General features: G+C 40.7%; 1 protein-coding gene across 4 annotated transcripts in view, besides 2 other annotated features; it reads right to left on the reverse strand.

Annotated features, from left to right (window-relative positions):
- The window catches only part of FAM168A (family with sequence similarity 168 member A), a 197626-nt gene that overhangs the window by 81999 nt on the left and 88240 nt on the right, over nt 1-27387 (reverse strand). The window lies entirely within an intron of this gene.
- Nucleotides 11825-12343: an enhancer, noted in NCBI's record as "NANOG-H3K27ac hESC enhancer chr11:73205355-73205873 (GRCh37/hg19 assembly coordinates)". NCBI's record gives its function as "activates a minimal SCP1, AML or CMV promoter by ChIP-STARR-seq in naive H9 embryonic stem cells {active_cell/tissue: H9 hESC(naive)}" and the evidence as "EXISTENCE:reporter gene assay evidence [ECO:0000049][PMID:30033119]".
- Nucleotides 12344-12861: an enhancer, noted in NCBI's record as "H3K27ac hESC enhancer chr11:73205874-73206391 (GRCh37/hg19 assembly coordinates)". NCBI's record gives its function as "activates a minimal SCP1, AML or CMV promoter by ChIP-STARR-seq in naive H9 embryonic stem cells {active_cell/tissue: H9 hESC(naive)}" and the evidence as "EXISTENCE:reporter gene assay evidence [ECO:0000049][PMID:30033119]".

Genomic DNA, 27387 nt, shown 5'->3' on the forward strand with positions numbered 1-27387 from the left:
CTATCTGTCATGAGACATAGGATACTGAGGGAATGTGAAGAAATACAGGTGTTTGTTGAAGAACCCACAGAGTCAAGGGGTTCTACCAGAATATATTAGTTTTTTGAAGCAAACCTATGAGGCCCACTAGATTATAAATTCTCAACAGCACGTTTATAGCATGCAAAATAATCACCTTCCCTGAGGAAGCAATATGTGTGAAATGTCACCTAGAAATTTCATATAATGGTTAAGAACAAGTTTTTTTTGTGTTGTTTTGTTTTTTTCTTTTGAGACAGAGTCTCGCTCTGTCACCCGGGCTGGAATGCAATGGCGCAATTTCAGCTCACTGCAACCTCCACCTCCTGGGTTCAAGCGATTCTCCTACCTCAGCCTCCCAAGTAGCTGGGATTAAAGGCGTGAGCCACCACGCCCGGCTAATTTTTTGTATTTTTAGTAGAGACGAGGTTTCACCATGTTGGCCAGGCTGGTCTCCAACTCCTGTCCTCAGGTGATCTGCCCACCTCAGCCTCCCAAAGTGCTGGAATTATTTGGCGCACCCAGCCAAGAACAGGTTTTTAAGCCACAGTTAACAGCTGTGAGGCCTTGGATAACTTAATCTCAGTTTCTTCTTCTGTGTAGTGGGAAATACTAGTGGTATCAATATTCCAAGAATGTTGGAAAAATTAAATGAAATAATATATGTTCTGCCTGAGCACATGTAAACACGATAAATTGTGGTTTTTATCATTATTTTGCCTAGAGGAACATCCTCATCACATGCAACTGTCAACAACCAAGACCTACAGTGTCCATAGGGACCCAAGGCACTGGACTGTCCCTTTCCCAGGTCTAGGGCTTTAGAAGGGTAATTACTGAGCCTAAAACGAGTAAGGAAAGTGTTCATTTCACCTTGAGGCTATCTGCCACAGGAAGACAATTACCTCCTCTATAAAACAGAAATACTACCACTTAATATAAAGAATTGCTATGAAGATGCTATGGAGGATAAAAGTAACAAAGTAATATAATCATATCTGTGTTCTAGAATAATATTTCATGGGAAGATGAAGGATGGGTTAGCAAAGGAGAAACAGAAAGTCTTAAAGCAGCTATCCAGGTTAAGGAAATGAAGATCTGAACTAGAAAGGAAAGCTAAAACGGAAAAGAAGGAAAGAATATAGGAAAATATTTTGCAGTCGGAACTGACAGAATTTGAAAATTCTCTGTATGCAGGGCTTGAAGAGGGGAAAGTCAGAGGTTTCTGAGGTAAGCATTCAAAGATGGTGTTCATTTGGAAGAAGTAGAGACAAAGATGTCCAACAGACAACTGGGAATCTGGAAATACTGATTTGGGAGATGATGGTTGCTGTGAACTAATTACCCACCAACCATTATTTTTATTAGCTTAGAGGTTAGCAGAAGAGTCCAGCAAGAGTATAAAGGCAGTAAGGAATGAAGATTGTATGGGGGAAGTATAATAGCACAAGAGAATATTGTCAGATGTAATAATTCAGAGCCAAACAGGGCTCTCAGAAAGAATGTCTTTTGAACCTTCTCAGTCGTTAAAGAAGCAAGCCTGCTTGGTTCCCAATGTACTTTCTTGCTGCTTCCTTCCTCCCTCCTTATCTTCAGTCAATAAACCTTTACTGGGTCTTTATCTTATGCCACTTCCAGCATCAGCGCTGAGGATACAGAGTACGTTATATACCATAACTGTTAACATCTTTAATTTTAACAGATGTTTAATGTTAACATCTTTAATTTTCACAGTAACTTTATTTATTATCCCCGTTTTAAGGATGTATAAGCTGAATAGCCCAGCCTATGAGGAACACTCTCCTCTGAGCTTTCATAGTCCTTACAAATTTTATATCACATAGTACTCTGTATCATCAGGTTTTCTTAAATAACCATAATTTATTCATATCCTTTTCTTCCCCAGGGTACAGCACAGGACCAACTACACACTACAGGTATTCAGTATTTGATGATTGTATTATTCTGGGTTCTCTAGAGGGGCAGAACTAAGAGGAGAGAGAGATATATATAGATATATATATCTATATATCTATATATCTATCTATATCTATATATCTATATATCTATATATCGATATCTATCTATATATCGATATCTATATCGATATATATCTATATATAGATATCTATATCGATATCTATCTATCTATATATAGATAGATATAGATATGTATCGCTATAGATATATAGATATAGATATATATAGATATATATATAGATATATATCGATATATAGATATATAGATATATAGGAATTTATTAAGTAGTATTAACCTACAGGATCCTAAGATCCTACAATAGGCCATCTGCAAGCTGAGGAGCAAGGAAGCCAGTCCAAGTCCCAAGCTGAAGAACCTGGAGTCCGATGTTCAAGGACAGGAAGCATCCAGCAAGGGAGAAAGATGTAGCCGGGGTAAGTCAGTCTGGCCTTTTCACATTTTTCTGCCTGCTTTATATTCAACGGTAGCTGATTAGATGGTGCCCACCCAGATTAAGGGTGGGTCTGCCTTCCCCAGCCCACTGACTAAAATATTAATCTCCTTTGGCAACATCTTCACAGACATACCCAAGATCAATACTTTGCATCCTTCAATCCAATCAAGTTGACACTCAGTATTAACCATCACTTTTATTTTAACAACCATCATGTTGTTAAATATACATAACACATCTAAAGGACTGTTTTAAAGTCATTCCATTGACCAAGTTTTTACATGAGATCCTAAAAAGTAGTAATTTCTTACTAATTCATTCAGCAAATCCCTAAGTACTAGATCTGAGCTAATCACTGGTACTGGATCTAGGAGAAACAAATCACACACAGACCCTGCCATCAGGTTTATTGTGGCATCCACTAATGTCACCTATTGTTTATAATGAGTTCTACTTCCTTCAGACATTAGAACCAGAGATACACGTGTCTTTTGAATATTCAAACACTTAATAGGAATAAACTATCAGCTGAAAGAATACGTGAATGAATGATAGACAATCTGAACCTTGGACCAGGCCTTGGTCTGGTCACCGGAAAGCTGAGCGTTCTTAGCAATGAGCAAAAACTTCTAGTACTAAATTTACCCCAGCTTTTTTACTAAATTTACTATATTATCCTATTTCCCCTTCACTGATAATCTGTTTGTTTTTCGTCCTATTTTATTACGTGTATTTTAAAAATTCATTCCCTTTAGGAAAAAACCATAGGTATACAGAATGTAATCAATCAACCTGAAGATGGTATAATGAGTCTCCTACTTTGTCCAGATGCCCTGCTGAAGGTTTGGAGTCAAACCAGGCCCAATGTGCAAGTCAGCAGCAAAGTCAGTAGCTACTACTACCTAAGTTTAATAAAAAGGGTCTCTGGTGGAGGAACTGTGTTGCTTCAGAGCAGCCAGGGAACTCTATTCTTCAAAGCCCACCCTCTTCAAGTTTTCAGCCCCCGCATTTATAAATAGGGAAGTTCTGGAACTAGACCATGGAGGACTACATGTGTATCTCTATCCCTGATCTACCAATACCTTAGAATCAGCTTCCTTATTTATTCTTATCTACCTACTATACAAATGTAAAGTTTGGGGGAAAACGGCCCATTATTGGTAATACAATATGGGTATGGTTGACTTAGTTTAGACAAGCAGTCCTGTAAGCACTGAATACTCACAACACTGGAGGGTTTTGCTTGTTTTGTTGTTACAATATACATAACACAAAATTGACTACTTTAATCATTTTAAAGTGTACAGTTTTGAGGCATTAAACACATTCACATTGTCATGCAACCATCACCACCATCCATCTCCAGAACTTTTCATCTTCATGAACTAAACTGGACTCTTCATACCCATTAAACACTAACTCCCCATTCTCCTCTTCCTACCCAGTCCCTGATACCACCATTCTATATTCTGTCTCTAAATTTAACTAAGAACCTAATTTAAGATGAATTATACAATATTTGTCCTTTTCTGACTGGCTTATTTCATTTAGCATAACTTCTTCAAGGTTCATCCATGTTAAAGCATGAAAATGCTGGTTTTCAATAACATTCCAGACTTCCCATTTCGGATAAAGATAATCACAAACTGTAAGTCTGACCATCATTTATTAGCTTTTAGAGATAAAATTAAAAGCTCACTGTAGAATTTTTCCCCTCCTGTGCCACTGAGATTTCCAGATTGATTTATAATCTGGAACAAGTATTTCCAAATAGATCATTTAGATGGAGCATCCTGCTACTTGAAAAATAAGTTCTAACACATTCATCAGGAAGCAAAATGGCCCTCAATAGAAAAGACAATGTGGTATCAATGTTTGAATAAAGATTAATGCTTAGCATAAGCTACTCATCTGTTTTGGTATCCCTAAACATATTTTCTTGCAGGAGAACAAGTGTGCATCTGTCTGGTTTTCAGAATATATGTACAAATATTTCTTATTACAAGTAGTATGTTTTCAGTATTAATAAATTTATATCATCCACATTGATGAGCCATGGATTATTTTTTAACCAGCAAGACCAATGTGAATAAAATACGAATGATCTTACTAAAAACAAACAGAAAAGACCTCTTCCTTCTCAGCTGGGGATATTATTTTTTTGTTTGCTTTTTTCCTTTTTTCCAACTCTCATCTTCCAGACTTTAATCCTATGTGGCTCTGTACATTCCATGCTCCAACTCTCATCACTCTCCCCACTTCATCTCCTGATCTTTTTCCACTGTATTCTCTGGAACTCAAGGTTAGCAAAATCCTCTACAACTTCAACCTCTCCTATGAATGTCCCCTGCTCTAAGTGAAATCTGGCTGTCTCATATAATAATGCTTTCCTGTGCAGCACTTTCAAGCAGGGGCTGATTTTCTCTCACTTCTCACCTTCCCCTAGGCCTTGAACCACTTACAGACCCTTCTCCATAAAAACATTCAGTTCTGAATCTCACATCATCAGATTCAACATCATCCCTCTTTGTAGCCATTTACTGCTTCCAAGTAACTTTCCTCTTATGCCTTAAAGATTGTGGCTCCTAGCTCACTGTCATTCTCTCTAATATATTCTTATCATAATTCCTGGTAATTTTAATAACTATATAAGTAATGATTATAATGCATTGCCCTCTCAGTTATCTGATCTCTCCTCCACTGATCTTGACATTTCCACCCAACCTCAGCCTCTCATTTCCATGGTTATAATCCTTGACCGTGTTATTACTAATAACTGAAACCTTTTTTCTCTAATCTTAATTTCAAATATCTCATTCGCCAAACACCATCTCTTAACTTTCTAGTTTGCTCTCTATAGTACACCAATTCTAACAATCCCTCAACCTATCAGGACATTCAATCTACTAATTCTACCTATATTTCATTGTCCATCACCCTCCTCGTACCCTCACCTCTCTCCTAACCCTGGCTATCCTAAATTCCTTGGTCAATTTTTTAATAATCATTCCCTTGCCCCTCTATCACTTGTATTGACACTAGTTTGGTTAAACCACAACCCTGGTTAAATTCAGTCACCGTCTACTCTCTGCCAACACTGGTATAGGTCTTGGGAGTAGGAAAACACACAATTATGTTTACTAAAGTTAAAATTTAACTTTAAACTCATGATCACTATTTTCATGTGGGGCCTTTTTTTTTTTTTCTTTTTAGACGAAGTCTCACTCTATTGCCCAGGCTGGAGTGTCATGGCACGATCTTGGCTCACCACAACCTCTGCCTCCTGGGTTCAAGCAATTCTCCTGTCTCAGCCTCCCAAGTAGCTGGGATTACAGGCGCCTGCCACCGTACTTGGCTAATGTTTGTATTTTTAGTAGAGACAGGGTTTCACCACACTGGCCAGGCTGGTCTTGAACTCCTGACCTCAGGCGATTTGCCCACCTCAGCCTCCCAAAGTGCTGGGATTACAGGTGAGAGCCACTGTGCCCAGCCTCATGTCGGTTCTAAATGAAATCTGACAATCATTCTATATTTGCCTCGTCCATCCTATACTGTTTCATGCTTTCTTTGCTCCTAATCTCACTCTCAACTAGTGATTTTGCTTATTTGTCTAAAGAAAATTAATCATCGAAAAGAGAGTTTTCAAGAGCTCCCACCACATTTACCTACCAAACTGCACCTGTACCCACAGACTCTTAACTTCTCTCCTATCACCGTGGATGAACAGTCCACGTTCCAACCTTCCAGTGGTACACTAGATTCCATTCCCTTACCAAACAAAGGACACTACTTCAAGTCATTTCACCCCTCTTTCTTGAGCATTATTAGGACTTCCCTTCTCTGCAGGATTATTCATATTAACATACTGTTACTTGTCTCACATAAAATAAATACATAAAATAAACAAAAAGTTCTGTCTTGATTCCATCTAACATACTAGCTACCATTTCTTTCTTTGTTTTTTTCTTGAGACGGAGTCTTGCTTTGTCACCTGGGCTGGAGTGCAGTGGTGCGATCTCAGCTCACTGCAACCTCCGCCTCCCAGGTTCAAGCAATTCTCCAGCCTCAGCCTCCCGAGTAGCTGGGACTGTAAGTGTATGCCCGTCTAATTTTTGTATTTTTAGTAGAGACAAGCTTTCACTATGTTGGCCAGGCTGGTCTTGAACTCCTGACCTCTTGATCTGCCCGCCTTGGCCTCCAAAAGTGCTGGGATTACATAGGTGTGAGCCACCGCACCAGGCCCCAGCTACCATTTCATGTCTCCTTCCCTTCATAGCAAAATTCCTATAAAGAGTTGGGTTATTTTCTTCTTTTAACCCTCCTGTATTGAGAATTCTAGAAAGAGCTGTTTTATACTGTACTTGCTTTCTCTCATCTTTCTTCCTATTCTTTTGAACCCACTCCAATCAGATTTCCATTCCCACCACTCTACCACCATGTTCTAATCAAAGTCACCAGTGACCTCCACTATGCTAAAACTAGTGGTCAATTTTCAACCCTCATCTTACTTGACATGTCAGCAGCAGCATTTAACATAATTGATCATTCTCTCCCCCACACCCCATCCCCCACTTTTTTTTTTTTTTTGGATATCGGGTCTTTTGCTCTTTTGCCCAGGCTCAAGTGCAGTGGCACAACCACGGCTCACTGTATCCTCAACTTCCTAGGCTCAAGCGATCTTCCCATCTCAGCCTCCCGAGTAGCTGGGACTAAAGGCACATGCCACCACTCCTGGCTAATTTTGTTTTTGTTTTTGTTTTCATAGAGATGCTGTGTTGCCTGGGCTGGTCTTGAATCCCTGGGCTCAAGTAATCTGCCCGCCTCAGCTTCGCAAAGTGTTGAATTACAGGCATGAGCCATGGTATCCGGCATCTCCCCTCTTTTCAATACTTTCATCACTTGGCTTTTGGACACTATACTCACCTGGGTTTTGATATGTTTGTTTTATTTTTCTCCCTATCATTCTGGCAGCTCTTTCTCAATTTCTAAACTTTGTGGTGACCTAGGCCCCTTCTCTTTTCTAAAGTCTCCATACACTCTCAAAGCCCCCTTATCTAATTGCATAACCAAATACCATCTACATTTTTATATTTACCACCTCCCACTCTCCTAAAATCTGTTTCTCCTGAAGTCCTCCCCAGTTCACTGAATTGCAACTCCATGCTTTTAATTGCACAGATAAAAATTTTGGTGTTGTTCTTGACTTCTCTTTTTCTCATACCTTAACAACTAGTCCATCAGCAAATCACTTTCAGCTCTGTCTCTAAAATATATTCAGAATTCAATCAATTCTCACTACCCTCACTTCTACCATCTTAATCTAAATCACTATCATCTCTCACAAGTATTACTGCCCCCCCTGTTTTTGCATTTACTCCTTCTTTTGTCTATTCTCAACACAGCAGCCAGAGTGGCTCTCTGAAAACATAAGTTAAATCAGGTCACTCATCTAATCCTCAGTGACTTCCTACCTCACGCAGTGGAAAAGCTAAGTCTTTACTAGGATCTAGAAAACCAAACAAGAAATGAATTTATAATGCCACACATTATAAATTACCTTCTCAACCTTTTGACTCCTGTTACTCTCCTCAACTTCAGGCACTTCACTTCAGCCATCCTGTTCCCTGTTCCCCTGCTATTCCTTAAAACATACCAGGACTGGCCTCAGGGCTTTGGCATCTATTCTCTCTGCCTGAAATGTTCTTCCTCCAGTTCATTCTCTCACTTACTTCAGGTCTTAATTTAAAATCACCTTCTCTGTGAGACTTTCCTTGGCTCCCTACCTAAAAGTGCAAACCTTTAACAAACTCAACATTATAGTTATCTTCCTTGCTTTATTTTTCCTCTTTCCCACATATCTATTGTACTTAATATTTTATTTTTTATCTTGTTGTATGTCTTCTCCCCCCTTCACCCAAAATGTAAGCTCCATGGTGATTCAGATTTTAATCTGTTTAGTCTACTGTTGCATCCCCAGTGCTAGAACAGCATCCAGAATATTGATCACTCTTCTCCACACTTTTGAGGGAATAATTTGAGAGGTGCCCCTGTTCTATGACTCAGATGATACACAGATTATACATAATGAAAGCTCCCATTAGTCAGTGCCTACTGACAAATACTAATTTCAGTTGGCCTCACTGAAATTATTATATTTATTCCTCATAATAATCCTGAGCCTTCCAGGACCAGCTGTTGACAAAACACACATATATACACATACTCCCCAGACAGCTGGCCAGAGAGGCAGGTTAGGAGCTGATGGGAGATGAGAAAAGAGCCCATGGAGAGGGGAAGACCACAAACAGAAAGGAGACATGATGGGAAGTTACTTATGGTAATACCACTCCAGCGGGAAGGAGACTTAATGTTTGGTCATCCATGGTGGAAGCCTGCATGTCTGCATAATACTAACAACCAAAAGACGCTCTTACAAGGCATAATTCTTCTCTCTGGACTGAGAGTTCCTAGAAGACTCTCCTTTCACTTCTGAAACTTCAGAATCCAGCTAGCACAGAGAAGACTCCCATAAATGTTTGTTAAATTGAACTGAATAATTATTGAGGTATTTATTCTGTTTTTACTCAAGACAAAACTGAGTTTTCAACAGTATTATGTAACATATTCAAGGAGGATGCATAGTTTCTAAGTAACAGACCGGGGACTTGAACTCAAGTTCCCTATTCTTTCTCCTGCACCACACTGTTGTTGTATAAAAACGATAATCTCTAGTAGAACACTGACTCTCATCTCATACGTGGGATGCAGACCTGTTAACCCAGCTATAGTCTAAGATGTCATAGAAAGAATCTTCACAAAGCAAGCCAGATCTCCAAACTGAACCACATAAGCTTGCAAGTCCAACATTCATAATCCCCAATTCTTTTCCCCATCTACCTCCTTTGTTCACTCCCTTGTTTCTTTGTGTTCATAACTGCCTGACCAATAAGGTGTGTAAAGTCCTTGGAATACAAAGGCCAAGTATGATTCTTCTTTCCATTCCTCCAGCACAGGGCTAATTATATCAAAGGTACTTTGTGAATGTTAGTTAAATTTAAAATGCTAAAAACCAAAGAAATAAAAAGATAGCTTTATGATTTCCATAGTCTCCATGGAGAGTCAGGGCTGGTATTAGCATCTACTTTACAAATGAGAAAAGCCTAAAAGGAGAGAAGCAACTTGCCCAGACTTTACCCTGACTCCTCACACGCCAAGCCCAATGTTCCTCCCATCATGTCATAAGGTTCACCGTATTTCTTAGAGCCAAGAAGATGGCTGAGGCAAGAACGAAAGATCAAGATAGACAAAAAAGAATGCCACACATTATAAATTAATCACTTAACAACATAACCAGCACATCCTGAAAAAATAAGCAAATATGACATTCATATCAGAGCAAAAGACTTGGTTTAAAATAAACAAACTCAGCCTGGCATGGTGGTTTATGCCTATAATCTCAGCACTTTGGGAGGCTGAGGCAGTGGATCCCTTGAATCCAGGAGTTCAAGACCAGCATGGTGAAACCCCATCTCTACAAAAAAAATTTCAAAAAAATTAGCCGGGCACGGTGGCGTGCACCTGTAGTCCCAGCTACACGGGGGGCTGAGGCAGGAGGATTGCTTAAGCCTGGAGGTCAAGGCTGCGGTAAGCCGAGATCGCACCTCTGCACTCCAGCCTGGTGACAGAGCAAAACCTGTCTCAATAAAATAAAATAAAATAAACCATATTTAATGATACTCTGCTCTGGATTATTCATTATGTAAATCACTTAGAGGTGGCACAGATGATAAGAGAATAAGATACGGTTTGCCCTTAGAAGCAGATAGTCTAATAGCAAAAATGTGACTCAAATACTCAGAGTTCAAAATCCTGGTGGCAATGGAACACAATGCAGCCATAAAAAGGAACAAAATCCTGTCCTTTGCACCAACATGGATGCAGGTGGAGGCCATTATCCTCTATTCATTCTTGCAAATGAATGCAGAAACAGAAAATCAAATACCACATGTTCTCACTTATAAGCAGGAACTAAACATTGGGTAAGCATGGACAAAAAGATGGCAACAACAGACCTTGGGCTCTACCAAGAGTGTGGAGAAGGATGGACTGAAAAACTACCTATTGGGTACTACGCTCACTACCTGGGTGACAGGATCATTCATACACCAAACTTCAGCAACATGCAATGTATCCATGTAACAAACCTGAACATGTACCCTCAAACCTAAAATGAAAGTAGGAAAAAAAAAATCACAAAGTGAAAAAAAAAGTCCTGGTGGCAGACAAAATGAGAGAAGTAGCTTGAACTCATAGTTCCAAATAATAAAAGAAAGGCAAGATAACAAGTGCTAAACGAACTTTACAGGTAGCCCGTAGACCATACGTATACAGTTATTGCAGGGGTTCAGAGAAAGGAGGAAAGGCTCACTGTGTCTGTGTATGTATCTTTAGTTTTTAGGGTCTTTTTAAAGGTTGTTTTGTTTTGTGTTTTTGAGACTGGGTCTCACTCTCTCACCCAAGCTGGACAGCAGTGGTGCAATCTCAGCTCACCGCAACCTCTGCCTCCTGGGCTCAAGTGATCCTCCCAAGGCCTCAGCCTCCTAAGTAGCTGGGTCTACCGACGTGTGCCACCATGCTAGGCTAATTTTTGTATTTGTTTTGTAGAGACAGGGTTTCACCATGTTGCCCAGGCGGTCTCAAACTCCTGGGCTCAAGCAATCCACCTGCTTCTGCCTCCCAAAGTACTGGGATTACAGGCATGAGCCACCATGCGCAGCCTTGTTTTATTTTTATTTAAGGAGGAACATAACTTATCCTGAAAACTGTCCCAGAGTTTAAAAAAAGACCAGGTTTGGGAATTCACACGGAGATGGAGAGAGGAAAGAACAACAGAACAGAGGTGAAGACAAGACCAAAGACTCAAACGCTGTCTCCTACATGAAGCTTCACAGACCCTTCCAACTAAAACTAATCACTATCCTCTATCCCAAAAATACATGGTGACAGTGCCATTCTAGAAACACTTCATGTTAGAAGATTTAGTTGTTTATGCAACTGCTTCCCTCCTGGACTATGAGCTCTGAAAGCAGAGTCTATTTTATTAACCTATGGAGTGCCCCACTGGCTAATAAAGAGCCAAGAACACCAAGACATGTACATTATGTACAGTATGGACATGTACATTATGTACAGTATGTACATATACATGTACATGTATGATTAACAGAATTGAACCAAAGAGTGTTAGAGCTTGGTAGGACCTCAAAGATCATTTAATTTAAGCCCTTCATTTTGCAACTGGGAAAACAAAGACTAAGTGACTCACTCAAAGTCACAGAGCAGGTCACAAATCCAGAACAGGACCTCAGGCCCCTAGAGTCCCAGCCAAAAGAGTGGCAGTGAGGCTGCTCTTCTACTCAAAGGACAAGAGATCTCCTGTGCTTATTGGTTAGTTCAAAGACACTGAGCCATTGCAGTGGGAGGTCTAAGGCTCTGAATCAGGAACTGTTACATTCCAAGCGGTTGACACTCTGAATACCAGGCCAAGTCCTTTGTCTCAGGACAGAAGGGCTCAGAAAAACCTGGCAGAACCACCCTTGTTTGATGCAGAGGCCCCAGAACATTTTAGGCTGCAGCCTTGGGCAAAGAGCCAGGAAGAGTTTTATTGTGATGAAGACGTAGAAAAATTGGGGAAAAAATGGAGGATGGGCACAATGAAGAGGTAGATTCCTAGCAGCACCAACGCCAGGAAAGCACTCTTGATGGAAAAGGAAGTACACTTTTAGAAGAAGTTAGGTCATGCCTGTAATCCAGCACTTTGGGAGGCCGAGGAGGGCGGATTACTTGAAGTCAGGAGTTCAAGACCAGCCTGGCCAACATGGCGAAACCCCATCTCTACTAAAAATACAAAAATTAGCCAGGTGTGGGGGCCCATGCCTGTAATCCCAGCTACTACTTGGGAGGCTGAGGCATGAGAATCACTTGAACCCAGGAGGCAGAGGCTGCAGCAGTGAGCCAAGATCATGCCAATGAACTCCAGCCTGGGTGATGGAGTGAGACTGTCTCAAAAAAAAAAGAAGAAAAAAAAGAAGCTAAAGGCTCAGAAAATGGAAGAGAGGGTAATTTCAGGACTCAGTAAAGACTCCCCAGGGAATTGCCTGTCTAATTTGAGGCTTAATGGTATAGACGTAAAAAAAAAAAAAAAATCAAACTGATCCCGTCTCTGCTGAAAATACAAAAAATTAGCCAGGCATGGTGGCAGGCACCTGTAGTCCCAGCTACTCGGGAGGCTGAGGCAGGAGAATGGCGTGAACCCAGGAGGCAGAGCTTGCAGTGAGCCGAGATCGTGCCACTGCACTCCAGCCTGGGCGACAGAGCGAGACTCCGTCTCAAAATTAAATAAATAAATAAATAAATAAAATCAAACTGAAGAGTGTGTGATGTCAAGAATAACCCAATCAAGAACAATGCAGTTTGAGCAACCAAGCCTCCTCAATCTCCATCACCACTCCATCACCACTGCTGGCCCACTCACCACCAATCTCCATTGAAATCACTGGGGTGCTCTTCCAGCCTCCTTGAGTGACATCTCCAGGCATGGGAGCGAATCAGATGGATAGGGGTACTATTTAAGACATAGAGTTTTACAACTAATACAATTTAAAAATGGATAAAGAACTTGAACAGGCATTTCTCCAAAGATATACAAATGACCAACAAGCGTATGAAGGTATGTTCAACATCATCAGTTATCAGAGAAACACAACTTAAAACTACACCAAGATACCACCTCACACCCATTAAGATGACTATTATCAAAAAAACAGAAAATAGCAAATGTTGATGAGGATGTAGAGAAATTGGAACCCTTATTTAAAATTTGGTGGTAATATAAAATGGTGTAGCCACTATGGAAAACAATACAGAGGTTCCTCAAAAAATTAAAAATATAATAACCATATGATCCAGCAATTTCACTTCTGCATATACATTCAAAAGAATTTAAAACAGGATCTCAAAGAGATATTTGCACACCCATGTTCATTGCAATACTATGGACAACAGCCAAAGAGTGGAAGCAACCTAAATGTCCACTGATGAATGAATGGATAAAGAAAATGTTGTATACACACATGCATACACACAACCCGCATACACACAACCTGCACCCACACACGCATGATGGAATATTACTCACTCTTAAAAAAGAAAATCCTGCTGTATACTACAATATGCATGAATCTTGAGGACGTTATGCTAAGTAAAGTAAGCTACTCACAAAACGACAAATACTGCATGATTCCACTTATATGACGTATCCAAAGAAGTTAAACTCTTAGAAACAGAAAGTAAAATGGTGGTTACCAAGGTGGAAGGTGAAAAGGGAAGTTGTTGTTCAACGGATATATTAGGTTGGTGCAAAAGTAATTGCGGCTTTGACCATACTTTCAATGGCGAAAACTACAATTACCTTTGCACCAACCTTTAGTTTCAGTTTTGCAAGATGAAAAAGTTCTAGAGATCTATCACACAATGAAGTGCATATAGTTAACACTACTGTAGTGTATACTTAAAAATAGTTAAGATGGTAAATTTTATGTTATTTTTTGTTTGTTTGTTTGGTTGGTTGGTTGGTTTTTTGAGACGGAGTCTCACTCTGTCGCCCAGGCTGGAGTGCAGTGGCGCGATCTCGGCTTGCTGCAAGCTCCGCCTCCCGCGTTCACGCCATTCTCCTGCCTCAGCCTCCCGAGTAGCTGGGACTACAGGCGCCCACCACCATGCCCGGCTAATTTTTTGTATTTTTAGTAGAGACGGGGTTTCACCGTGTTAGCCAGGATGGTCTTGATCTCCTGACCTCGTGATCCACCCACCTCGGCCTCCCAAAGTGCTGGGATTACAGGCGTGAGCCACTGCACCCAGCCCTGTATGTTCTTATCACACACACACACACACACACACACACACACACGCACACACACGCACACACACACACAGTTTTAGGTCTAACACCAAAACTACTAAATCAGGACACCTGGGAATCAGAATTTTACACAAATTCCCCACGTATTTTTGAAAAATGGCCGAATTCAGAAAACACTCGCTTCAAAATAAAGTCCAAATTTGATTTCTGCATCGAAAGCCCTGCGTGATCCCATCCCTTTTTATCTTTCATTCTCACCACTTGCTCTTGCCTCAGGCCTCACTCTGTTTTGGCCTCTGGCCTGCGTACCAGGAGGAACTACTGTCGGCCAGGCACGGTGGCTCATACCTGTAATCCCAGCACTTTGGGAGGCCCAGACAGGCAGATCACGAGGTCAGGAGATCCAGACCATCCTGGCCAACATGGTGAAACCCCGTCTCTACTAAAAATACAAAAATTAGCCAGGTGTGGTGGCGCGCGCCTGTAGTCTCAGCTACTTGGGAGGCTGAGGCAGGAGAATCACTTGAACCTGGGAGGCGGAGGTTGCACCACTGCACTCCAGCCTGGCGACAGAGAGTGACTCCATACCCCCCCTCAAAAAAAAAAAAGACATACTGTCCAGCTGAACTTTCTATAATGATGGAAATATTCTAGTATATCTGTGCTGTCCAATATAGTAGCTATTAGCCACATGTAGCTACTAAGTACTTGATATGTGGCTATTGAACAGCACAGGACTAGAGCAATAACTAGGTCTCTAGAAGAAAAAGAGAGGGCATGGTTAAAACTCAAAACAGAAAACCAAACACCACACGTTCTCACTCATAGGTGGGAACTGAACAATGAGAACACTTGGACACAGAGCAGGGAACATCACACACTGGGGCCTGTCGTTGGGTGGGGGGATGGGGAAGGGATAGCATTAGGAGAAATACCTAATGTAAATGACAAGTTAATGGGTACAGCAAACCAACATGGCACATGTATACATATGTAACAAACCTGCACGTTAGGCACATGTACCCTAGAACTTAAAGCATAATAAAAATAAATAAAACTCAAAACAACTCCATTTAATTTTTTTCTCACATATTATTGATATGCATTCATTCATTTAACAAATGTTTATTGCTTACTACATGCCAGGCACTACTCTAGATACTGGTGAAATAGCCATGAACAAAACAAACACCCCTGCCCTCAAAAAGCTTATGCTCTAATGAGGCCGACTAGTACAGCAGCTAAGAGCAGTGACTCTGGGGGCCAAGATGGCCAACTAGAAGCAGTGGCGTTTGGAGGCTCCCATCGAAAAAAAACATAATAAGTATGTGAATCCTTCGCCGGCCACCAAGGATCTAGGTTCTCTCATCAAAATTGACTAGAAGGCTGGCGTGACCCATGGAGAAAAGGAAGAGCAGTGCGGTACAGCAGCCCACTCAAGAGCTGCACAGGGAAGGGGACCCCCCCTTCCCCCCAGCCAAGGGAGGCAGTGAATGAGCACGCTACCCAGCCAGGGAGAGTGTGCTTTTTCCACTCAACTTTGCAACCCACGGATCAGAAGATCCCACTAGCAAACCCATGCCACTGGGACACACAGATTCTTACAGCCTCTTAGCTGGAATCTGCTTAAGCCTACTGAACTCCCTGGGGGAGGGGCGACCAGCACTGGGTTGCAGTGGCCCACTGTCTAAGCCGTTTGAGCTCCTTGGGGAGGGGCAGCAACCAGCATTGGAACTCGCAACTGCCTGACATGCTAAGCTCCCTGGGCAGGGTAAGGGCAGCACCCATTTCTATAGCTCCAGGCTGTGTTTTTCCCCTGCTGGAGCCCGGGAGGCTGAATGGCTTGGTCCCAAGACTTGTCCCACAGCCCAACACACAGGCTGTGGCAGTCTGTGGGCAGAGTGCCAGTTCAGGTCTAACCCTGACCCATCCTTCTTCAGTGAGAGGGGCTTCCCTGCAGGATCTCCAATAACTCCAGCCAGAGGCTCAGGGATGGAATTTGGATCTCCCTGGACCTGAGCCCCTAGCGGGGACGGGTAGCCATAGTTTCTTTGGACCAGCAGGCTTAGCCTCTCCTGGTAGTTCTGAGGAATCTGGGCAGCCCAGATGAGTGGGTATCCCCCCAGCGGAACACACCCTCTCCACCAAGGGACAAAGTGCTTCATTAAACAGGTGCTGCTCCCCGTGCCACCCAAGACCCTTCGACAGGGTTGTCAAACACCCTATACAGGAGCAATCCTACTGGCATCAGGCTGGTGCCCCTCAAGGTCAGAGGTCCCAGAAGAAGGAGCAGGAACCCATCTTGGCTGCTCTTCCAGCCTCCTTCAGTGACATCTCCAGGCATGGGAGTGAATCAGATGAACAAGACCTGAAGTGAACCCCCGGCAAACTGCAGCAGCCCTACCTACAGAAGAGGGACCTGATTATTGAAAGAAAAACAAACAAGCAGAAAGCAACAACAACAGCATCAACGACAACAAAAAAAGGCTCCCACAAAAACCCCATCCAAGAGTCAGCAGCCTCAAAGACTGAACTAGACAAACTCACAAAGATGAGAAGAAATCAATGAAAAAATGCTGAAAACCCAAAAGACCAGAGTGCCTCTTCTCCTCCAAATGATTGCAACGTCTCTCCATCAAGGGCACAGGACTGGACAGAGGATCAGATGGACGAATTGAGAGAAGTAGGCTTCAGAAGATGGGTAATAAAAAACTATGATGATCAAAAGGAACATGTTCTAACCCAATGCAAAGAAGCTAAGAACCTTGATAAAAGGTTGGAAGAATTGCTAACTAGGATAACCAGTTTAGAGAGGAACATAAACCACCTGATGGAGCTGAAAAACACAGCACAAGAACTTCATGAGGCACACCCAAGTATCAACAGCCGAATCAGCCAAGCGGAAGAAAGGTTATCAGAGTTTGAAGACCACTTTACTGAAATAAGACATGCAGACAAAAATAGAGAAAAAAGAATGAAAAGGAAAGAACAAAGCCTCCAACAAATATGGGACTTCATAAAAAGACCAAACCTACGGTTGACTGGAGTACCAGGAGATGGAGAGAATGGAAACAAGCTGGAAAACACACTCCAGGATATTATCCAGGAGAACTTCCCCAAACTAGCAAGAGAGGCCAACATGCAAATTCAGGAAATACAGAGAACACCATTAAGATATTCCACAAGAAGATCAACCCCAAGACACATCATCATCAGATTCTCCAAGGTCACAATGAAGGAAAAACTGTTAGGGCAGCCAGAGAGAAAGGCCAGGTCACCTACAAAGGGAAGCCCATCAGTCTAACAGTGGACCTCTCAGCAGAAACTCTTCAAGCCAGAAGAGATTGGGGGCCAATATTCAACATTCTTAAAGACAAGAGTTTACAACCCAGAATTCCTTTTTTTTTTTTTTTTTTTTGAGACAGAGTCTTGCTCTGTCACCCAGGCTAGAGTACAGTGGCATGATCCCAGCTCACTGCAACCTCTGCCTCCAGGGTTCAAGGGATTCTCCTGCCTCAGCCTCCCAAGTAACTGGGACTACAGGTGCCTACCAGCATGCCCAGCTAATTTTTGTATTTTTAGTAGAAGACAGGGTTTCACCATGTTATCCAGGCTGGTCTCGAACTCCTGACCACATGATCCACCCACCTTGGCCTCCCAAAGTGCTGGGATTACAGGCATGAGCCACTGCACCCAGCCTCAACCCAGAATTTCATATCCAGCCAAACTAAGCTTCATAAGCTAAGGAGAAATAAAATCCTTTCCAGACAAGCAAATGCTGAGGGATTTCATTACCACCAGGCCTGCCCTGCAAGAGCTGCTGAAAGAAGCACTAAATATGGAAAGGAAAAACCAGTACCAGCCACTGTAAAAACACACCAAAATATAAAGACAAATGACACTATGAAGAAACTGCATCAACTAGTATGCAAAATAACCAAACAGCATCATGATGACAGGATCAAATTCACACATAACAATATTAACCTTAAATGTAAATGGGCTAAATGCCCCAATTAAAAGACACAGACTGGCCAATTGGGTAAGGAGTCAAGACCCATTGGTGTGCTGTATTCAGGAGACCCATCTTATGTGCAAAGACACACACAGCCTCAAAATAAAGGGATGGAAGAAAATTTACCAAGCAAATGGAAAGCAAAAAAAAAAAAAGCAGGGGTTGCAATCCTAGTCTCTGACAAAACAGGCTTTAAACCAACAAAGATCAAAAAAGACAAAAAAGGGCATTACATAATGGCAAAGGGAACAATTCAACAGGAAGTGCTAACTATTCTGAATATATATGCATCCAATACAGGAGCACCCAAATTCATAAAACAAGTTCTTAGAGACCTACAAAGATACTTAGACTACCACACAATAATAGTGGGAGACTTTAACACCCCACTGTCAGTATCAGACAGATCAATGAGACAGAAAATTAACAAGGATATTCGGGACTTGAACTTAGCTCTGGATCAAGTGGACCTGGTAGACGTCTACAGAACTCTACCCTAAATCAACAGAATATACATTCCTCTCAGTGCCACATGGCACTTATTCTAAAATCAACCACTAATTGGAAGCAAAACACTTCTCAGCAAAAGCAAAAGAACTGAAATCATAACAAACAGTCTCTCAGACCACAATACAATCAAATAGAACTTAGGATTAAGAAACTCGCTCAAAACCACACAATTTCATGGAAATTGAACAACCTGCTCCTGAATGACTCCTGGGTAAATAATGAAATTAAGGCAGAATCAAGAAGTTCTTTGAAACCAATGAGAACAAAGAGACAACGTACCAGAATCTCTGGGACATAGCTAAAGCAGTATTAAGAGGGAAATTTACAGCACTAAATGCCCACATCAGAAAGCTAGAAAGATCTCAAATCGACACCCTAACATCACAATTAAAAGAGCTAGAGAGGCAACAGCAAACTAATCCAAAAGCTAGCAGAAGGCCGGGCGCGGTGGCTCAAGCCTGTAATCCCAGCACTTTGGGAGGCCAAGGCGGGCAGATCACAAGGTCAGGAGATCAAGACCATCCTGGCTAACACGGTGAAACCCCGCCTCTATTAAAAGTACAAAAAATTAGCCAGGTGTGGTGGCGGGCGCCTGTAGTCCCAGCTACTCAGGAGGCTGAGGCAGGAGAACGGCATGAACCCCGGAGGCGGAGCTTGCAGTGAGCTGAGATTGCACCACTGCACTCCAGCTTGGGCGACAGATCAAAGCTTTGTCTCGAAAAAAAAAAAAAAAAAGGCTAGCAGAAGACAAGAAATAACTAAGATCAGAGAAGAACTGCAGGAGCTAGAGACACAAAAAACCCTCAAAAAAAAAATCAACAAATCCAGGAGCTGGTTTTCTGAAAAAATTAACAAAATAGATAGACTGCTAGCTAGACTAATGAAGAGAGAAGAATCAAATAGACAAAATAAAAAATGACAAAGGGGATATCACCACTGATCCCACAGAAATACAAACTACCATCAGAGAGTACTATAAACACCTCTACACAAATAAACTAGAAAATCTAGAAGAAATGGATAAATTCCTGGACACATATACCCTCCCAAGACTAAACCAGGAAGAACTCAGATCCCTGAATAGACTGATAAGAAGTCTGAAATTGAGGCAGTAATTAATAGCCTATCAACCAAAAAAAGTCCAGGACCACACGGATTTACAGCCGAATTCTACCAGAAGTACAAAGAGGAGCTGGTACTGTTCCTCCTGAAACTATTCTAAACAACTGAAAAGGAGGGACTCATTTTATGAGGCCTCATTTTATGAAGCCATCATCATCCTGATACCAAAACTGGGAAGAGACACAACAAAAAAAAGAAAACTTCAGGCCAAATATCCCTGATGAACATCAATGCAAAAATCTTCAATAAAATACTGGCAAACTGAATCCAGCAGCACATCACAAAACTTATCCACCACGATCAAGTCGGTTTCATCCCTGGGATGCAAGGCTGGTTCAACATATGCAAATCAACAAACATAATCCATCACATAAACAGATCCAAAGACAAAAACCACATGATTATCTCAATAGATGCAGAAAAGGCCTTTGATAAAATTCAACATGGCTTCATGTTAAAAACTCTCAGTAAACTAGGTATTGATGGAACATATCTCAAAATAATAAGAACTATTTATGACAAACCCACAGCCAATATCATACTCAACAGGCAAAAGCTGGAAGCATTCCCTTTAAAAACCAGTACAGGACAAGGATGCCCTCTCTCACCACTCCTATTCAACATAGTATTGGAAGTTCTGGCCAGGGCAATCAGACAAGATAAAGAAATAAAGCATATTCAAATAGGAAGAGAGGAAGTCAAGTTGTCTCTGTTTGAAGACAACATGATTTTATATTTAGAAAACCCCATCATCTCAGCCCAAAAACTTCTTGAACTGATAAGCAACTTCAGCAAAGTCTCAGGATATAAAATCAATGTGCAAAAATCACAAGCATTCCTTTACACCAACAATAGGCAAGCAGAAAGCCAAATCATGAATTAACTCCCATTCACAATCACTACAAAGAGAATAAAATACCTAGGAATACAGCTAACAAGGGATGTAAAGGACCTCTTCAAGGATAGCTACAAACCACTGCTCAAGGAAATAAGAGAGGACACAAACAAATGGAAAAACATTCCATGCTCATGGATAGGAAGAATCAATATAATGAAAATGGCCACACTGTCAAAATAATTTATAGATTCAATGCTATTCCCAAACAATTCACTGACATTCTTCACAGAATTAGAAAAAAACTATTTTAAATTTCATATGGAATCAAAGAAGACCCTGGATAGCCAAGACAATCCTAAGCAAAAAGAACAAAGCTGGAGGCATCATGCTACTATACTACAAGGCTTCAAACTATACTACAAGGCTACAGTAACCAAAACAGCATGGTACTGCTACCAAAACATAGAGACCAATGGAGCAGAACAGAGACCTCAGAAATAACACCACACATCTACAAACATCTGATCTTCAACAAAGTTAACAAAAACAAGCACTGGGGAAAGGATCTCCTATTCAGTAAATGGTGCCGGGAAAACTGGCTGGCCATATGCAGAAAACTGAAACTGGACCTCTTCCTTACATCTCATACAAAAATTAACTCAAGACGGATTAAAGACTTAAATGTAAAACCCAAAATAATAAAAACCCTAGAAGAAAACCTAGGCAATACCATTCAGGACATAGGCATGGGCAAAGACTTCATGACAAAAATGGCAAAAGCAATTGCAACAAAAGCCAAAATTGACAAATGGGATCTAATTAAACTAAAGAGCTTCTGCACAGCAAAAGAAACTATCATCGAAGTGAACAAGCAACCTACAGAATGGGAGAAAAGTTTTGCAATCTACCGATCTGATAAAGGTCTAATAGCCAGAATTTACAAGGAACTTAAACGTATTTACAAGAAAAAAACAAGCAACTCCATCAAAAAGTGGGCAAAGGATATGAACAGATGCTTCTCAAAAGAAGACATTTACGTGGCCAACAAACATGAAAAAAAGCTCAACATCACTGATCATCAGAGAAATGCAAATGAAAACCACAATGAGATACCACCTCATGCCAGTCAGAATGGCAGTTATTAAAAAGTCAGGAAACAACAGATGCTGGCGAGGCTGTGGAGAAATAAGAACGCTTTTACACTGTTGGTGGGAATGTAAATTAGTTCAACCATCGTAGAAGACAGTATGGTGATTCTTCAAGGATCTAGAACCAGAAATACCATTTGACCCAGTAATCCCATTACTGGGTATATACCCAAAGGAATATAAATCATTCTACTATAAAGACACATGCACATATATGTTTACTGCAGCACTACTGTTACAATAGCAAAGACATGGAACCAATCTAAATGCCATCAATGATAGACTGGATAAAGAAAATGTGGTACATACATACCATGGAATACTACGCAGCCATAAAAAGAAATGAGATCATTTCCTTTGCAGAGACATGGATGAACCTGGGAGACATCATCCTCAGCAAACTAACACAGGAACAGAAAACCAAACACTGCATGTTCTCACTCATAAGTGGGAGCGGAACACTGAGAACACATGGACACAGAGAGGGGAACAACACACACCAGGGCCTGTTGCAGGGTGAGGGGTGAGGGAAGGGAACTAAGAGTACGGGTCACTAGGTACAGCAAACCACCATGGCACACGTATACCTATGTAACAAACCTGCACGTTCTGCACATGTATCCCATTTTTTTTTTAGAAGAAATCTTTTAAAAAGAAATATTATGCATACACATAATATGGCCATTTTGCCAATAACATTCTGATTAGTTCAAAAGTGAAAATTAAAAGTCATGGAGTTTTGCAAAAAGGAAAAAAAAAAAAAAGAGCAAGGACTTTGGAGACAGAGAGCTCAGGTTCAGATTCTGGCTCCACTGCTAACCTTCTTGTGTTCTTTGAAAATCACTAAACTTCTCTATAACTCAGTTTCTCACCTGTAAAATGACCATAATAATAGTACTATCTAACAGGGTTTTTATGAGGATTAAATAAGAGCTAACATATGTAAAGTGTTTAGAACAATGCCCAACATATAAAAACTAGCTATTATCATTATCATTTTATTTTGTTGTTATTATTATGAATGGAGAGGAACACAATTAGCAAATAGCAAAAAGTAAGGACTATTAGTGATATAGGAGAAAAATAAAAGAAGGGCAAAGGGAAGAGAGTACCAGGACAGAAGTTACAATTTTTAAGAGGACAGTCAAGGAAAGTCTCACTGAGAAGGTGCTACCTAAGAAAAGACCTAAAGGAGGAAAGAGAACAAGCCAGCAGGTATGTGGAGAAGAACGTAACCCCTTTGTGAAGTACTTGGTGTACTTCACCATTTTATAGATGGGAGAACTGAGTCTCAGACTAAGGAAACTGTTACATGGCTGATAAATGACTGACCTGGAGTTGAATTCAGGACCACCTGATTCCAATCCCTTCTCCCTTGAGACACTGACTTCCATTCTTTTCTGGACCAAATCAAGATCAAAGGACCCTTTTCACATCAGCTTCTGCTATTGGAACTGAGATTTATAAATTCAATATGACTATACAAGCTCTCTAGGTTAATGGATTAACCAAATAAGTTAAAGGCATAGGCTGTTAACCCACTTGCCCACTCTCACACGCACTCTCTCTCACCCACCACTTCCTAAGAAGTTCCACACCAGGACCTCCATGTTAACTGCAGGCAGGGCACAGAAAACAGGCATTTATCAAAACCAACAAGCCTCAAATACCAAGAAGAAGAGGTAAATTATACATCAGAAACAAAGGCCACTTCTTCTAACCAGGCCTTTGAGGGGAAAAGCTCTGCTAGATGTGGGCTGTGAAGAAACTTGGATCAAAAGTGAGGTTCAACCTACTGAATCTGATCTAATCTAACCTTGGTATACAAGATCTATAGAAATAAGAAGAAAGGAGCTCCAGTGGCGCAATCAGTTAGCACATGGTACTTATGTGAAATAAGGAGAAAAAAAAAAACCCTCCATATCTCACCTTAGCTTTAAAGAAGGCAGTGATTCAAAATACTTTCAACAATATTTTCTCTGTATGTTTTGCCTGTGCTCATGAAATCCCTGTGAAAATATTAGAAATCTATTACAGGAAATCATTAGTGCTTCCAGGAGCAGTAGATTCTGGTCCTCCTCTACAACTTACTAGAAAAGTCACTTCAACTTCTGGGCCTCAGTTCCCCCATCCATTAGAAGCAGAGAATAGACAAGATATTCTTTAAAGGTCCTCCATCTTTAACCCTCTATAGCATACTATGTTAATATGATAATGTATAACACATTTAATATACTATATATCACATACATAATAATGAAACAGTATTCTGCACCTTCAGACTCAGACCCAAAATTCACTGATTCAATAAACATTAAGTACTAATAGTAAATCAGGCATTGAAAACACAGATATGCTAAATGACAAATTCATAAAAAGCTTCATTCACATATATTGCTTTCCCCACTCACATATATAATCATTTCAGAGTTAAGTTCCTACTAAAACAAACAAATAAAAAAACTTGACTCTAAGATTCTGTAGGTTTTTAAAAAATCACACTTAAGAGTGTTGCAAATCTTTTATTATCATATATTATACTTAACGACCCTTGAAAAGAAAACACACACACAACAAAATCCTCCCTATTAAAACATAGCTCACACTGATATTTCCTGGCTAAATCACTTATAGTCTGAACTACTCAGTTAGAGACTTTTGTTTTTTCCCCACGAACTATATGGTGGGAGCACGTGTAATTGTGTTCATATCTTTTTCTTACAACCAACCATTAGGTCCTTGGGAACAGACCCAACATCTTATTTTTCTTTGCCTCCCCAGTAAGACCATTTTATAATTTATTTATGATCCATCCAAGACTCATCCAAAAACAATGTGAAGTGGTTCATCTTATTAAGATATAAAAATAAGACAGTTAAAGATAAAAATAAACAAAACCCATCTGGGACAAAGTCCATTCTAAATTAAATAATCAAAATTCAGGTCCTACAAAGAGGGGAATAACAGACACTGAGGCCTACTAGAGGGTAGTGGCTGGGAGGAGGGAGGGGACCCAAAAAATAACTATTGGGTACTGGGGCTTAATACCTGGATGATGAAATAATCTGTACAACAAATCTGAGTTTACCTATATAACAAACCTATGTGTGTAATCTTGAACCTAAAAAAAAAGTTAAAAAAAATTTCAAGTCCTGATAATATCTACCATATACATGCCATGTTATTATTGGTAGTTTACTCATTTGTAAATGAACGTGCAATATTAACAACTGACCTCTGAATAATATTACAGGTTTGAAATGTACTGATCCACTTATATGCCTCCCTCTGACCCCCTGACCAAATATGGATCACAGGATGCGAAACCAGCATATATGAAGGGCCAACTTTTCATAATCAAGGTCCTGCAGGGCTAACTGCAGGACTTGGGTATGTGTAGATCTGGGTATTCACAGGGGATCTTGGAATTCAATCCCCTGGGTATACCGAGGGACAACTGTACTTCACAGATATAATACAATCAGCTGTTAGGCCAGACACTATTCAGTTCAAATCATAGCTCCATCACATAATTAATTGTGTAATCTTGGGCATAGTTACTTAACCTCTTTGGGTCTTAGCGTCATCTCTCTTAAGTGGTGATAATAACATTTTTACAGCTGATGTAAGAGTTAAATGAAATAGTAAAGCCATTTAGCACAATGTCTAGCACATAGTAAGTACTCAATAAAAAGGAGCATCACCTCTAGATTGTTTATTAAAATATTTTAAATAAGTGGGGGAAAGGCTCTGAAGTTTAAAGTGCTATGAAATGTTCAGAATGCTTATTACTATTACTCATATCCAAAATTAAGGAGCAAATTAATAAAAAAGGAAAAAAATATTCAAAGACAGTTGTCTTACACAACATAGTTCTCTCTTTTGCATTTCTAGCCTCCCTTCAAACATCTTTAATACACAATAAAATATGAGTGGAAATAAATGCAAGCTATGCATTTTCAACTGTCAGAAAGGTGAGGCCTGGGGCTTTTCCACCAAGTCGGAACAAAATTGCTACGTCTCCTACTTCTAGCCCTGCAGGTAGGTGCGTGCGTGCATGCGTGGGTGCGTGTGTGTGTGTGTGTCCCTGAGAATACCAGGGGTGGGTAGGGGTGTGTGGGTGTTTAGGGGTGTGTGCATATGTGGGTGTGTTTCCCCTGAGAGTACTAGGGGTGTGTGTGTGTGCACGCACACATGCCCTAATAGTACTAGACCACAGTAGTTCTCTCAGTCTGTGACCTGCTCTATAGGATGACAGGGGGTACAGCCTCCTGGCAGCAGAGGACATAAGACAACCAAAAAAGGGTAAGACAGAAGAAAAATACTCAAAAAGCCAGTGTAATATGATCACCAATGGGAACTAGTTTGTGCGTATATGTTGAATAAGCCAGTATGTGTGTAGTCACTGATCATTATGTTTTATTGCATTAAAACATAATGATGGCTTTATAAAGGGCAGTTCCCCTGCACATGCTCTCTTGCCTGCTGCCATGTAAGACATGCCTTTGCTCCTCCTTTGCCTTCCGCCATGACTGTGAGGCCTTCTCAATCATGTGGAACTGTGAGTCCATTAAACCTCTTTCCTTTATAAATTACTCAGTTTCAGGTATGTCTTTATTGGCAGTGTGAGAACGAGCTAATACACCAGTACAGCATCATTGTTATTACAGATATAGTAACTAAGGACCAGAGAGGGAAAGCAGCTTATCCATGATCACACAGGCAAGTCAAGGAGCAGAGCTGGATCAGAACTTAGGACAAGGCTGATTGTGAACTTGAGTATAAAGTGTGTTAGGAAGGGAGTCTGTTAAAAACCTTATCATTTGTTAACAAATCTCCAAGGATGGCTTAAGAATTCCCACAGTTACAAATCCTGCTATTAAGTGGGAGTCACTAAGTAAATCCTGCTAAGTAAATAATTCCCATCCACCACTGCCTTGTTGAATGTTTTTCAAACGTTCACCTCAGAAAAATGGGAAATTATGACATGTCATGGACCTTTGAAGCTGCTCAAGAATAGTCAAAGCACCACATATTAAGTACATCAAAGTGAGATGTCCACCACAAAACCCCAATTTGTAAAGGGCAAAAAGGCAGACAGTTCTATACCCAACTGCTGTACAGGGTTCCCATAACTAACTTTATAGAGGGATCAGTGGTATTAATAGAAATAAAAATTAAATCCCCAAATCTAGAATTCTAGGCTTTTAAGACCTATCAGCCTCCACTCTCCAGCACTTAACAATGTTCTAGGCAAACTGAACAGGTGCTTGGCTTTCTAAACTGTATAAAGAGGAAGAGAAGTATGTGTTCACTTTCCCTCCACAAATTTTATGCCATCTATGTAAATTCAAATCCTGGCCATCCTTCAGGCCTAGTTC

Source organism: Homo sapiens, chromosome 11, assembly GCF_000001405.40.
Source record: "Homo sapiens chromosome 11, GRCh38.p14 Primary Assembly".
NCBI lineage: Eukaryota > Metazoa > Chordata > Mammalia > Primates > Hominidae > Homo > Homo sapiens.